The sequence below is a fragment of the Homo sapiens genome, chromosome 15 (assembly GCF_000001405.40).
Source record: "Homo sapiens chromosome 15, GRCh38.p14 Primary Assembly".
NCBI classification, from domain to species: Eukaryota; Metazoa; Chordata; class Mammalia; order Primates; family Hominidae; genus Homo; species Homo sapiens.
In genome coordinates, this window is record NC_000015.10 from 97,426,236 (window position 1) to 97,440,777 (window position 14,542).

The following is a 14,542-nucleotide window of genomic DNA, read 5'->3' on the forward strand; positions in this document are numbered from 1 at the left end:
TAAATGTTATACCAAACTTTTCTATTCATAAGAGATAGATATGAAAAAGTGTGTAAACTTTAGAAATTAGAAAAACATTTAAGAAAGCAAAAAATATTGTATCGTTCTATTAATACATAGAATTCTGTATCCCATTTCCTAGGGTATTCCATTTTTAAAAAATAATTGACATAATAGTCATTATCCTGACATTTTTCATTGTTAATCATCGTCACTCACATAATTATTTTGTTATATATTTGATTATTGTTTTCTAAGCTAGATTCCTTGAAATGAGATTGCCAGGAAAAAGGATATAGCATCTTTTTAGATGTTGGTACATATTGTCAAACTGATTTTTAGAGTTTCTGTTAACTCTTAAAGTGTAACTGAAGAGAATAGAAGTGTCCCAGTTTATAGCCTTGCATTGACTCTCATTGCCCCCTTTTAAATCATTACTATGCTTAACTCAATAAAGAAAAAAATGAAAGCTGCTTGTTTTAACTTTCATGCTTTTTTTTTTTTTTTTTTGAGAGAGAGAGAGAGACAGTTTCACTATGTTGCCCAGGTTGGAGTGCAGTGGTGCAATCATAGCTCACTGCAACCCGGGACGCCTAGCCTCAAGTCATCCTCCCACTTCAGCTACCCAGCTAGTACCCACCACCGCACCCAGCTCTTTTTTAAAAAATTTTTTATAGAGATGGGGTCTTGCTATGAGTTGCCCAGGCTGGACTCAAACTCCTGACCTCAGAAGATCTTCCTGCCTCAGCTTTCCAAGTTGCATCTGGCTATTTACAGGCTTTCAAAAAGTGTTTGTTGTATCTCTACCTTGTCCCATCATTGTGTTAGATACACTCACATTACAAATGTTGTCAAAAATGCTCACATCATAAAGAGGAGAATTAATATGTGAAATCTGAAGGCAGAGAACAAGAATAAGAGATTCACCAAGTAAAACAAAAAACATGGGTTTGAAATAATGGAATATGTATTATTAAAACAAAAACATTAACCTAAAGGCTAGTTCATGGTTTTTATTTAATTTTGATTTTTATATATTTGCCACATGAGCTTTTCCCCAAATAGGTTACTGAGATACATAGCCACAGGATGCACCTGCCTAAATGCCCTGCAAAACACAGTCATTTAATATTATTCTGTGGTTCTTGCGGCATTCATCATACTGAGCCTTATGATGCAACTGGAAGAGTTAGGACCCAAGACTCTACCTTTCCATTTTACCTATTGTGTTGTTTCCCATCACTGCTGTAACAAATCACCACACACAGTGACGTAAAGCAATGCATATTGTTAGCTTACAATTCTGGAAGTCAGAAGTCAGCAATGAGTTTCACTAGGTATGAAGAATTCCAGGTGATGGTCTGCAAACCTGAGTTCCTTCTAGAGGCTCTTAGGGGAAAAATCTATTTCCTTACCTTTTCCAACTTCTAGGGGCTGCTTGTGTTCCTTGCCTCCTGGCCATTCTCTCCAAAGACAGCAGCATCTTCAAATCTGTCTTTGATTCCGCTTCCATTATCGCATCTTCTCTAGCTCTTCTAGGGAAACTTTTGATCACATTGGGCCCAACAGACAATCCAGAATCATTCGTCTCAATGGCCTTAACTTACCGACATCTGTGAAGTCCCTTTTGCAATGTGGGACAACCTGTTCATAGGTTCCATGGAATAGGACCTGGACATTTGGTTGGCGGGGTGGTCCTCTCTTCTGTTTAAATCACCTGTACTCAAAAAAAAACATAAGGCTTTGTGACAAATTGTATTTAAGATGTTATAAATGCCAGTGTGTTCACTTTGTAAACATTCAATATTGAATGTTGTTATGGCTTATAATATCATCAATATTTATTGTATTTTTTGTGATGAACTGTAGGAAAAAAATACTTTTTCCCTTCTTCAGTCAGTCATTAGTCTCATTTGTCTCATTCTAGACTAAGGTTAGCACTCAAACAAAAACTATTTATTAGCTAATGAGAATAATGAAAGCAGGCTATTTTGTATATTAATAGCTTTGCATTAGGCATAATGAATTTTATTCCACAGGGCAAAAGGGATTTCACAAATGAAAAAACTAGGAACCAATGTTCAACATATATCCCAGAAATTAGATGGCTAGGATTGGCTATGTACAAGAAAACACACATTTTAATTATCTCATTTTCCCCTCCTATTATGTGACTTTCATAATAGAAACATGGCATAATGGAGGTAGCCCAAGGCTTTGGAATTAGACCAACCAGAGTTCAAATTCTGGTTGTTCTACCTATCAGATATTTTCATTAAGGTAATTTTTTAAATGCTTCTCAGCTTTTGCAAAATGGATATTATAATATTCACCACACTGAGATATTATAAAGATTAAGTAAAATAATGTATGAAGATGACTTTACATAAATAAACTGTTAATTTGCTTTGCTCTATTGTCTTTGCTTTTAAAATAGTTGTATCTACTTATATAGATTTGTCTTCATGCTTATAGCTGAAATAGTTGAAAATATTTTATTCTATGAATTGAAAAAATAAAGACTACTGGCTTTTATCTTTCACTAAAATGTAAGTTTCTTGCATTTTAGGAAAATAAATATGGCACCAAATTTGTCTGCAGGCACAGAGATTACATTCCTCGAATGTTAATATCTACCTATCTATATATCCTATTTGCCGTCAGGTTCTTTTGAGGGATAATGATTTGTTTTAGATTATATTCTCAATAAGTGATGAAATTTATAGACTCTCCTTCATAGTCACTCAGCAATGAAACAGAGCAAACAATCATTAATAAATGATGGACGTTCTACGTAGGATTCTGTGTTCTAGGTATGTATGCAAAAGATGATCTTACTCTTGAGAGCCACTAGAACTCTTTGAAGAAAAAAAAATGCTATTTGCTATAGGGAAATCTTTCTGGAAAAGTAATAATTTCACCTTTGAGTCAGCTTCCCTGGACTCTTGCCTCATACATCTTCAGCCAAGGTCAGTCCATTATGAAAATCCACTCTCCCTTCCCCATGAAAGAACATTCGAGGCATACTTATTATATTAACTGAATTGTTACATATGTATTAAAAGTTTATAGTATGTGTTAGCATTTATTTATTTTTTGTAAGATGTCTTTCCAGGAATATATAACCCTGGTTCATAATATTGTGCCCTTTGTATCCAAGATTTGATATATGTGAGTAAACATACAACTGTCTATCTGGGGGCAAGTAAATCGAAAACCAAGAATCATCTCAAGTGTTGGAAATCATATGGTATAGAATTCATTACCATTTGTGAACTGGAATGGGCAGCAAGATATTTGAATAAAAATTAAACTAGTTCTATAATTGGTGATTTGAAATTTTTTGAAAAAGCCACGGCAGTGAAATAGTTTGGATGTCCCCTCAAAATCTCATGCTGAATTGTAATCCCCAGTGTTGGAGGTGGGGACTGGTGGGAGGTGTTTGGGTCACTATAGTGCGTTTTCATGAGATCTGGTCATTTAAAATCTGTAGCACCTCCCTCCCCTTCTTGCTCCTGTTTTTTCCATGTGAAGATGCCTGCCCCAGCTTTGCCTTCCACCATGAGTAAAAGCTTCCCAAGTCCTCCCCAGAAGCAGATGCTGGCGCTATGCTTCTGGTACAGCCTGAAAAACCTTGAGCCAATTAAACCTCAGGTAAGTCTTTACAGCAATGCAAGAATTGCCTAATATAGGCAGGAACATACATGTTCCATGTTCTATCCTAAACATGGAAATGCAGGTATGTCATAAAATAAAACGATCGGTTAAAACTGAAGAGATGAAAAGTAACACCTATAAATACATTTCCACTTTTCCACTTTTTCATTTTGACTTGTCTGAATGAATATTTTTCTTCATCTAATGAATCTAAATGCATCTAATTTGGAATAAATTATCTATATTCCCAATAAATTCCATTTAATTTCATCTGTTTTTAAATTTTGTCAAAAGAAGAAAAACAGAAATCAAGGCCAAGAAAAGAAAAATTACACACTTAATATCATCATCCATTATTAAAACCTAGGTTGCCAGGCAGAATACCATGCCTTAGAGATTACACTGAGAGTAAAAGATGATTATAGATTTACACTCAATATCTCATTTAAAGTTTGCTCATGTTTAGCTATCCAAATCTGATTCCATAAGACTATTTTTGTCGCAAGTAACTATGGTGGCTATCCTCAAAAGATCTGTAAGAAAAGCATTGCATAGAATCAGAGAAAAGGTTGAACAATTTAATAAATTGGAAAGCCAAATCCAACCTAGGAATCTCAGCAACAGTTATACATGGATGTTCCTTCTGCCTCCCAGAGATGGCTGCCTGATACTCAGATCCCTAATACTTCTGGGATCTGATTGGCTCAGATTTAAGTTAGGTGTCTAGGTGTCTACCCAAATTTTCCAGGAGTCTTGCAACAGCAATTGGCTTCTAAAGCCCACTTTGTTGGTGGAGCTTGGATTATCAGAGCAATTATGTTGGAAAGCAATCCCAGTAGATGTCATCTAATTGGTACCATTTGGACTAGAGGCAATTAGACGGTTTGCATATATTTTAAATTATTATTGTAGACATGAATCTATTACTGTATTTTCCACATTTTGAGTTACTAAAAGGATTATATTCCACAGGCTTTAATAAATAGGTGGATGGATGATGATGATAACTTTAGTGATAATTGATAATTGCTTTAGGTTCCAGATGATATTAGAGTAAATATAGTATGCTGTCATCAGACATAGAAAAAAATAGAAAGAAACAGAGCAGATGAGAGAAGGAGAGAAAGGGAGAGAGCTGAAGCAATGGAGATAGAGAGCTAGAAGGAGATAATTTTTCTAAAATTTGTGAATGGGGCCGGGTGCAGTGGCTCATGCGTGTAATCCCAGCACTTTGGGAGATTGAGGCAGGTGGATCACCTGAGGTCAGGAGTTCGAGACCAGCCTGGCCAATGTGCTGAAACCCTGTCTCTACTAAAAATACAAAAATTAGCCAGATGTGGTGGTGGGCACCTGTAATCCCAGGTACTCGGGAGGCTGAGGCAGGAGAATCGCTTGAACCTGGGAGGTGGAAGTTGCAGTAAGCCAAGATCACACCACTGCACTCCAGCCTGAGTGACAAAGCAACACTCCATCTCGAAAAAATAAAATTTGTTAATGGTTTAAAAATAATTAGACTTGGAAGATTATCATGTAAGTTCCAATTAAACTTATTTCTATATAAGCTGAGCTGAGAACTACAAACATTATCAATACATAATAGTAGTTGCCTTTTCGTTGCATGCTAAGGCTCCCCCGTAATATCGGAAGTACTTGAACAGACACATTTTGTGTAAGGACATTAAGGGCTCCCAGTAGTTCCTGGCTCCAAAGGCTTGTTTTAAACAAAGGTCATTAATGAGTCTCCTGCTCATGCCACATATCATTCATATGTGGCATGGTTGTAGAACTTCCTAATCTTTACAAGAACCAAAGAAGCCTGGAAATGCCCCATTCAGAAAAATATGTTTGAGACTTTGCAAAGCTCCTTTCTCTAATCCTTATGATTTCTTCTTTCACAGTGAGCTCAAGATGTCTTTGTTGAAACAGAACCTCCCGAAGTTACAGTATTGGTTTTGGGGCTCCACACAGAGAACACATCACGGAAGCTATAATTGAGGAAGACAAAGCTGTCAGGACGACACCAAGAGAGTTAGAAAGCCCAAGAGTGGAGCATTCTTCACCATGATTCCACCTGACACTTGGCTGAAAGCATTTTGCACTAATTTGCTTTGTGCCCGTTCAGACAATCTAAAAAGAAAGGATGGGGGGACAACAAGTGTCTATTACACAGAATAAACAGCCTCTGGCAAATGAATACATTTTACACACTTGTGCTTTTGGAGGGATGGGGTAGTGATGAGGGGAAGGGGAATGGAGGAGGAGAAGTCAAGGATTAGAGGTCTCTTCAGCATCTCAGGACTGCCTCTCTCTCTCTGTGGTCACAGGGGTAGGTTTGGTCCACATGGCAGACATGAAACTCAAGATACAGCCCTGGCGTATACGGGTTGGGAGGCCAGTGCTGCCTCTGGTGGTCCCCCCAGACCTGCAATTCATATTTTGAATGGGTTTAAAGCCTACTTGGCAATTACTTTTATCCTCTAATGAAATAGATTTGAACCACTTTCCCTTGATTATATTTTAAATGTTTACCCCCATATAAATATAACTGCTCTGAGGTGGGAGGGGTTAAGCCTCTCCTATGAATCAATTAAAGACAAAAAAAAAAAAAAGGCCTTGAGCTTTTCGTCCAGATAGCATGCAAGAAACACCAGGGTAAAGACAAAGGGAGCCAAAGAATCCATTCTAGCCTCTGTAATTGGCTCCTATGTTGAACTGTGAAGAGTTGGGACAAAAGCACAGGACAGAGAAGATGGTCTAGCAAGAAATACATGGTCTTTTAAAAGTGAAACACAGCATTTTTTGAGGGCAGCCAAGATGGCCGAATAGGAACAGCTCTGGTCTACAGCTCCCAGCGTGAGCGACGCAGAAGACGGGTGATTTCTGCATTTCCATCTGAGGTACCAGGTTCATCTCACTAGGGAGTGCCAGACAGTGGGCGCAGGACAGTGGGTGCAGCACACCATGCACAAGCCGAAGCAGGGCGAGGCATTGCCTCACTCGGGAAGTGCAAGGGGTCAGGGAGTTCCCTTTCCTAGTCAAAGAAAGGGGTGACAGACGGCACCTGGAAATTCGGGTCACTCCCACCCTAATACTGCACTTTTCCGATGGGCTTAAAAAAAGGTGCACCAGGAGGTTGTATCCTGCACCTGGCTCAGAGGGTCCTACACTCACAGAGTCACACTGATTGCTAGCACGGCAGTCTGAGATCAAACTGCAAGGTGGCAGCGAGGCTCGGGGAGGGGTGCCTGCCATTGCCCAGGCTTGCTTAGGTAAACAGAGCAGCAGGGAAGCTCCAACTGGTTGGAGCCCACCACAGCTCAAGGAGGCCTGCCTGCCTCTGTGGGCTCCACCTCTGGGGGCAGGGCACAGACAAACAAAAAGACAGCAGTAACCTCTGCGGACTTAAATGTCCCTGTCTGACAGCTTTGAACAGAGCAGTGGTTCTCCCAGCACGCAGCTGGAGATCTGAGAATGGGCAGACTGCCTCCTCAGGTGGGTCCCTGACCCCTGACCCCCGAGCAGCCTAACTGGGAGGCACCCCCCAGTAGGGGCAGACTGACACCTCACACGGCCAGGTACTCCTCTGAGACAAAACTTCCAGAGGAACGATCAGACAGCAGCATTCGCGATTCATGAAAATCCGCTGTTCTGCAGCCACTGCCGCTGATGCCCAGGCAAACAGGGTCTGGAGTGGACCTCTAGCAAACGCCAACAGACCTGCAGCTGAGGGTCCTGTTGGTTAGAAGGAAAACTAACAAACAGAAAGGACATCCACACCAAAAGCCCATCTGTACATCACCATCATCAAAGACAAAAAGTAGATAAAACCACAAAGATGGGGAAAAAACAGAGCAGAAAAACTGGAAACTCCCCTAAGAAGCAGAGTGCCTCTCCTCCTCCAAAGGAACGCAGTTCCTCACCAGCAAAGGAACAAAGCTGGATGGAGAATGACTTTGACGAGTTGAGAGAAGAAGGCTTCAGACGATCAAACTACTCTGAGCTACAGGAGGAAATTCAAACCAAAGGCAAAGAAGTTAAAAACTTTTTGAAAAAAATTTAGACGAATGTATAACTAGAATAACCAATACAGAGAAGTGCTTAAAGGAGCTGATGGAGCTGAAAGCCAAGGTTCGAAGAACTATGTGAAGAATGCAGAAGCCTCAGGAGCTGATGCCATCAACTGGAAGAAAGGCTATCAGTGATGGAAGATGAAATGAATGAAATGAAGTCAGAAGGGAAGTTTAGAGAAAAAAGAATAAAAGGAAACGAACAAAGCCTCCAAGAAATGTGGGACTATGTGAAAAGACCAAATCTACATCTGATTGGTGTACCAGAAAGTGACGGGGAGAATGGAACCAAGTTGGAAAACACTCTGCAGGATATTATGCAGGAGAACTTCCCCAATCTAGCAAGGCAGGCCAACATTCAGATTCAGGAAATACAGAGAATGCCACAAAGATACTCCTTGAGAAGAGCAACTCCAAGAAACATAATTGTCAGATTCACCAAAGTTGAAATGAAGGAAAAAATGTTAAGGGCAGCCAGAGAGAAAGGTCGGGTTACCCACAAAGGAAAGCCGGTCAGACTAACAGCAGATCTCTCGGCAGAAATTCTACAAGTCAGAAGAGAGTGGGGGCCGATATTCAACATTCTTAAAGAAACGAATTTTCAACCCAGAATTTCATATCCAGCCAAACTAAGCTTCATAAGTGAAGGAGAAATAAAATACTTTACAGACAAGCAAATGCTGAGAGATTCTGTCACCACCAGGCTTGCCATAAAAGAGCTCCTGAAGGAAGCACTAAACATGGAAAGGAACAACCGGTACCAGCCACTGAAAAATCATGCCAACATGTAAAGACCATCGAGACTAGGAAGAAACTGCATCAACTAACGAGGAAAATAACCAGCTAACATCATAATGACAGGATCAAATTCACACATAACAATATTAACTTTAAATATAAATGGACTAAATGCTCCAATTAAAAGACACAGACTGGCAAATTGGATAAAAAGAGTCAAGACCCATCAGTGTGCTGTATTCAGGAAACCCATCTCACATGCAGAGACACACATTGGCTCAAAATAAGGATGGAGGAAGATCTACCAAGCAAATGGAAAACAAAAAAAAGGCAGGGGTTGCAATCCTTGTCTCTGATGAAACAGACTTTAAACCAGAAAGATCAAAAGAGACAAAGAAGGCCATTACATAATGGTAAAAGGATCAATTCAACAAGAAGAGCTAACTATCCTAAATATATATGCACCCAATACAGGAGCACCCAGATTCATAAAGCAAGTCCTGAGTGACCTACAAAGAGACTTAGACTCCCACACAATAATAATGGGAGGCATTAACACCCCACTGTCAACATTAGACAGATCAACAAGACAGAAAGTTAACAAGATACCCAGGACTTGAACTCAGCTCTGCACCAAGCGGACCTAACAGACATCTACAGAACTCTCCACCCCACATCAACAGAATATACATTTTCTTCAGCACCACACCACACCTATTCCAAAACTGACCACATAGTTGGAACTAAAGCTCTCCTCAGCAAATGTAAAACATCAGACATTATAACAAACTGTCTCTCAGACCACAGTGCAATCAAACTAGAACTCAGGATTAAGAAACTCACTCAAAACTGCTCAACTACATGGAAACTGAACAACCTACTTCTGAATGACTACTGGGTACATAACGAAATGAAGGCAGAAATAAAGATGTTCTTTGAAACCAACGAGAACAAAGACACAACATACCAGAATCTCTGGGACACATTCAAAGCAGTGTGTAGAGGGAAATTTATAGCACTAAATGCCCACAAGAGAAAGCAGGAAAGATCCAAAATGGACACCCTAACATCACAATTAAAAGAACTAGAAAAGCAAGAGCAAACACATTCAAAAGCTAGCAGAAGGCAAGAAATAACTAAAATCAGAGCAGAACTGAAGGAAATAGAGACACAAAAAACCCTTCAAAAAATTAATGAATCCAGGAGCTGGTTTTTTGAAAGGATCAACAAAATTGATAGACCACTAGCAAGACTAATACAGAATAAAAGAGAGAAGAATCAAGTAGACGCAATAAAAAATGGTAAAGGGGACATCACCACTGATCCCACAGAAATACAAACTACCATCAGAGAATACTACAAACACCTCTACGCAAATAAACTAGAAAATCTAGAAGAAATGGATAAATTCCTCGACACATACACTCTCCCAAGACTAAACCAGGAAGAAGTTGAATCTCTGAATAGACCAATAACAGGCTCTGAAATTGAGGCAATAATCAATAGCTTACCAACCAAAAAGAGTCCAGGACCAGTTGGATTCACAGTCGAATTCTACCAGAGGTACAAGGAGGAACTGGTACCATTCCTTCTGAAACTATTCCAATCCACAGAAAAAGAGGGAATCCTCCCTAACTCATTTTATGAGGCCAGCCTCATCCTGATACCAAAGCCTGGCAGAGAGACAGCCAAAAAAGAGAAATGTAGTCCAATATCCTTGATGAACATTGATGCAAAAATCCTCAATAAAATACTGGCAAACCGAATCCAGCAGCACATCAAAAAGCTTATCCACCATGGTCAAGTGGGCTTCATTCCTGGGATGCAAGGTGGATTCAATATACGCAAATCAATAAATATAATCCATCACATAAACAGAACCAAAGACAAAAACCACATGATTATCTCAATAGATGCAGAAAAGGCCTTTGACAAAATTCAACAACCCTTCATGCTAAAAACTCTCAATAAATTAGGTATTGATGGGGCATATCTCAAAATAATAAGAGCTATCTATGACAAACCCACCGCCAATATCATACTGAACAGGCAAAAACTGGAAGCATTCCCTTTGAAAACTGGCACAAGACAGGGATGCCCTCTCTCACCACTCTTATTCAACGTAGTGTTGGAAGTTCTGGCCAGGGCAATTAGGCAGGAGAAGGAAATAAAGGGTATTCAATTAGGAAAAGAGGAAGTCAAATTGTCCCTGGTTGCAGATGACATGCTTCTATATCTAGAAAACCCTATTGTCTCCGCCCAAAATCTCCTTAAGCTGATAAGCAACTTCAGCAAAGTCTCAGGATACAAAATCAATGTACAAAAATCACAAGCATTCTTATACACCAATAACAGACAAACAGAGAGCCAAATCATGAGTGAACTCCCATTCACAATTGCTTCAAAGAGAATAAAATACCTAGGAATCCAACTTACAAGGGATGTGAAGGACCTCTTCAAGGAGAACTACAAACCACTGCTCAATGAAATAAAAGAGGATACAAACAAATGGAAGAACATTCCATGCTCATGGGTAGGAAGAATCAATATCGTGAAAATGGCCATACTGCCCAAGGTAATTTATAGATTCAATGCCATCCCCATCAAGCTACCAATGACTTTCTTCACAGAATTGGAAAAAACTACTGTAAAGTTCATATGGAACCAAAAAAGAGCCCGCATCACCAAGTAAATCCTAAGCCAAAAGAACAAAGCTGGAGGCATCACGCTACCTGGCTTCAAACTATACTACAAGGCTACAGTAACCAAAACAGCATGGTACTGGTACCAAAACAGAGATATAGATCAATGGAACAGAACAGAGGCCTCAGAAATAACGCCGCATATCTACAACTATCTGATCTTTGACAAACCTGACAAAAACAAGCAATGGGGAAAGGATTCCCTATTTAATAAATGGTGCTGGGAAAACTGGCTAGCCATATGTAGAAAGCTGAAACTGGATCCCTTCCTTACACCTTATACAAAAATTAATTCAAGATGGATTAAAGACTTAAACGTTAGACCTAAAACCATAAAAATCCTAGAAGAAAACCTAGGCATTACCATTCAGGACATAGACATGGGCAAGGACTTCATGTCTAAAACACAAAAAGCAATGGCAACAAAAGCCAAAATTGACCAATGGGATCTAATTAAACTAAAGAGCTTCTGCACAGCAAAAGAAACTACCATCAGAGTGAACAGGCAACCTACAACATGGGAGAAAATTTTCACAACCTACTCATCTGACAGAGGGCTAATATCCAGAATCTACAATGAACTCAAACAAATTTACAAGAAAAAAGCAAACAACCCCATCAAAAAGTGGGCGAAGGACATGAACAGACACTTCTCAAAAGAAGACATTTATGCAGCCAAAAAACACATGAAAAAATGCTCACCATCACTGGCCATCAGAGAAATGCAAATCAAAACCACAATGAGATACCATCTCACACCAGTTAGAATGGCAATCATTAAAAAGTGAGGAAACAACAGGTGCTGGAGAGGATGTGGAGAAATAGGAACACTTTTACACTGTTGGTGGGACTGTAAACTAGTTCAACCATTGTGGAAGTCAGTGTGGCGATTCCTCAGGGATCTAGAACTAGAAATACCATTTGACCCAGCCATCCCATTACTGGGTATATACCCAAAGGACTATAAATCATGCTGCTATAAATACACATGCACACGTATGTTTATTGCAGCACTATTCACAATAGCAAAGACTTGGAACCAATGCAAATGTCCAATGATAGACTGGATTAAGAAAATGTGGCACATATACACCATGGAATACTATGCAGCCATAAAAAATGATGAGTTCATGTCCTTTGTAGGGACATGGATGAAATTGGAAATCATCATTCTCAGTAAACTATCGCAAGGACAAAAAACCAAACACCGCATGTTCTCACTCATAGGTGGCAATTGAACAATGAGAACACATGGACACAGGAAGGGGAACATCACACTCTGGGGCCTGTTGTGGGGTGGGGGTAGGGGGAAGAGATAGCATTAGGAGATATACCTAATGGTAAATGATGAGTTAATGGGTGCAGCACACTAGCATGGCACATGTATACATATGTAACTAACCTGCACATTGTGCACATGTACCCTAAAACTTAAATAATAATATAATAATTTTAAAAAATGGCACAGTATTTGCATATAACCTACACACATGCCCTTGTCTACTTCAAATCACCTCTATTAAACAGTTTACTCATAATACATAATACAATGTAAATACTATGGGAAAAAAAAAAAGTTAAACAAGCTGGGACCCAAACCGTGTTCCACTCACCGTCCCACCTCCAGGTACCTTCAGGCTCTTGCATTATCATTGTTGCTGTTTATGATTATCTGCTTGGATTATCCTTAGGAAATGTGGCAATATTCCAAAGGGAATAGATGTGAATCCAATTTCTAGGGATGTGGCTAATCATTAAAATCAATCATATTTTTCAAAGACCAAAACAATGGATTTTATTTCTGATCTTCAGTTTCTTTAGGCATACTAATTCATTGGATACTTTCTAAGCTCCTTGCAGTCTCACTTTTACTCATTTGACTTTCTAAATAACATATGAGTCAAGCTTTCTTTAATCTTATGGGAAAAAAATGGGAAGATTGTAATGCTGGATATTTAACTAGTGGTTCAATCCCTTTCCTTTTTGTCAGCAAAAGGGATATGGGATTTGAGGAGCATCCCGATGTATCTGTATTCATAAACGCCTTTCTCATTTGCTGTGTGGCCTTATTCACTTCTTTGGATGGAGTTGTTCACAAGTGTGGTGTAGAAAGTATTACATAATAGGATAACAGGTCAGATAGCAATGTCTTGGCAACCATATCTTACTAAACGGCTACAGGAAACAGCAAAAAAAAAAAAAAAAATGTTATCGGCTGGGCGTGGTGGCTCACGCCTGTAATGCCAGCACTTTGGGAGGCCAAGGTGGGTGGATCACGAGGTCAGGAGATTGAAACCATCCTGGCTAACACGGTGAAACCCCGCCTCTACTAAAAGTACAAAAAATGAGCTGGGCGTGGTGGCGGGCGCCTGTAGTCCCAGCTACTTGGGAGGCTGAGGCAGGAGAATGGCGTGAACCCGGGAGGTGGAGCTTGCAGTGAGCCGAGATGGTGTCACTGCACTCCAGCCTGGGCGACAGAGCGAGACGCCCTCTCAAAAAAAAAAAAAAAAGTTATCTTAGAGAAAGTGTGGGAAACCACAAAGTTAAGCATACTCTGCATAGTGCCCTCAATGGGATTCCTATGCTAATAGATTTTCAAAAAATCGATACCATTCACAGGTTGAGAGTCATCACATAGGAGAAAGAACGCATCCAGGACAAGTGGGCTTTGTCCACTTTATGATTTTTCATAAGCCAGATAGGTCCACTGCATTGAAAAAAAATTATTTTGCTTTCTGAAGTTCACAATGCTGTTTGTAAATGATACATTAAATCTTTCAGGAGTTTTTTATTTCACGTATATAATCCAAATGTTCTTAGGGCTTATGAATAATGAGCTAAATCATTTTTTGTTTAAATAATGAATTTACATGTCTATTATTTTAACACAAGCAATAAACATAACAAAGAAAGAAAAATAATTTTGAAAAACATGACTGCACAGAAATAGCCACTGCCAACATTAGGGAAATGTTACTTTACACATTTTAATCCATGTATATACATATACATATAAATATAACGACAAAGATAAATGTGATTATAAAACAACAGATAAAGAGAGAAACAAGGAGACTAATGGATGGAACAATGGATAAATGTGTGTGGATGAATGGATACATATAAATAAGATAAAATGCATCTGTGCAATTTTAAGTTTGAGAGCATTTAATATTATTTGTATTTTATAGGATAAATTAAAATTGTGATAAAACTAATAGAATCACTCAATTTTAGGGAACTATTTTATCCCCATGTGAACTATTTGTTCCTAAGAGATATTAAAGATTATAGAAACAGATAACCATAAAAATTGAATGCATAGGAATAATTCTGTTTTTCTGAAAAAATGGTTCTCAATTGTAGTGACCCCAAACC

At 39.1% G+C, this 14,542-nt stretch overlaps 2 long non-coding RNA genes across 5 annotated transcripts in view; one reads left to right on the forward strand and one right to left on the reverse strand.

Moving 5' to 3' along the window:
* The window catches only part of LINC02253 (long intergenic non-protein coding RNA 2253), a 197,799-nt gene extending 191,944 nt beyond the window's left edge, over nt 1-5,855 (forward strand). For 2 of the 4 annotated variants that reach the window (NR_183855.1, NR_183853.1), the window contains 3 exons: nt 2,814-2,969; nt 3,535-3,654; nt 5,556-5,855. This is a non-coding gene — a long non-coding RNA (long intergenic non-protein coding RNA 2253). The remainder of the gene's footprint in view (nt 1-2,813; nt 2,970-3,534; nt 3,655-5,555) is intronic. The other 2 variants (NR_183854.1, NR_183856.1) reach the window with 1 other exon arrangement.
* The window catches only part of LINC02254 (long intergenic non-protein coding RNA 2254), a 151,441-nt gene that overhangs the window by 55,865 nt on the left and 81,034 nt on the right, over nt 1-14,542 (reverse strand). The window contains exon 3 of the long non-coding RNA NR_120324.1: nt 1,416-1,717. This is a non-coding gene — a long non-coding RNA (long intergenic non-protein coding RNA 2254). The remainder of the gene's footprint in view (nt 1-1,415; nt 1,718-14,542) is intronic.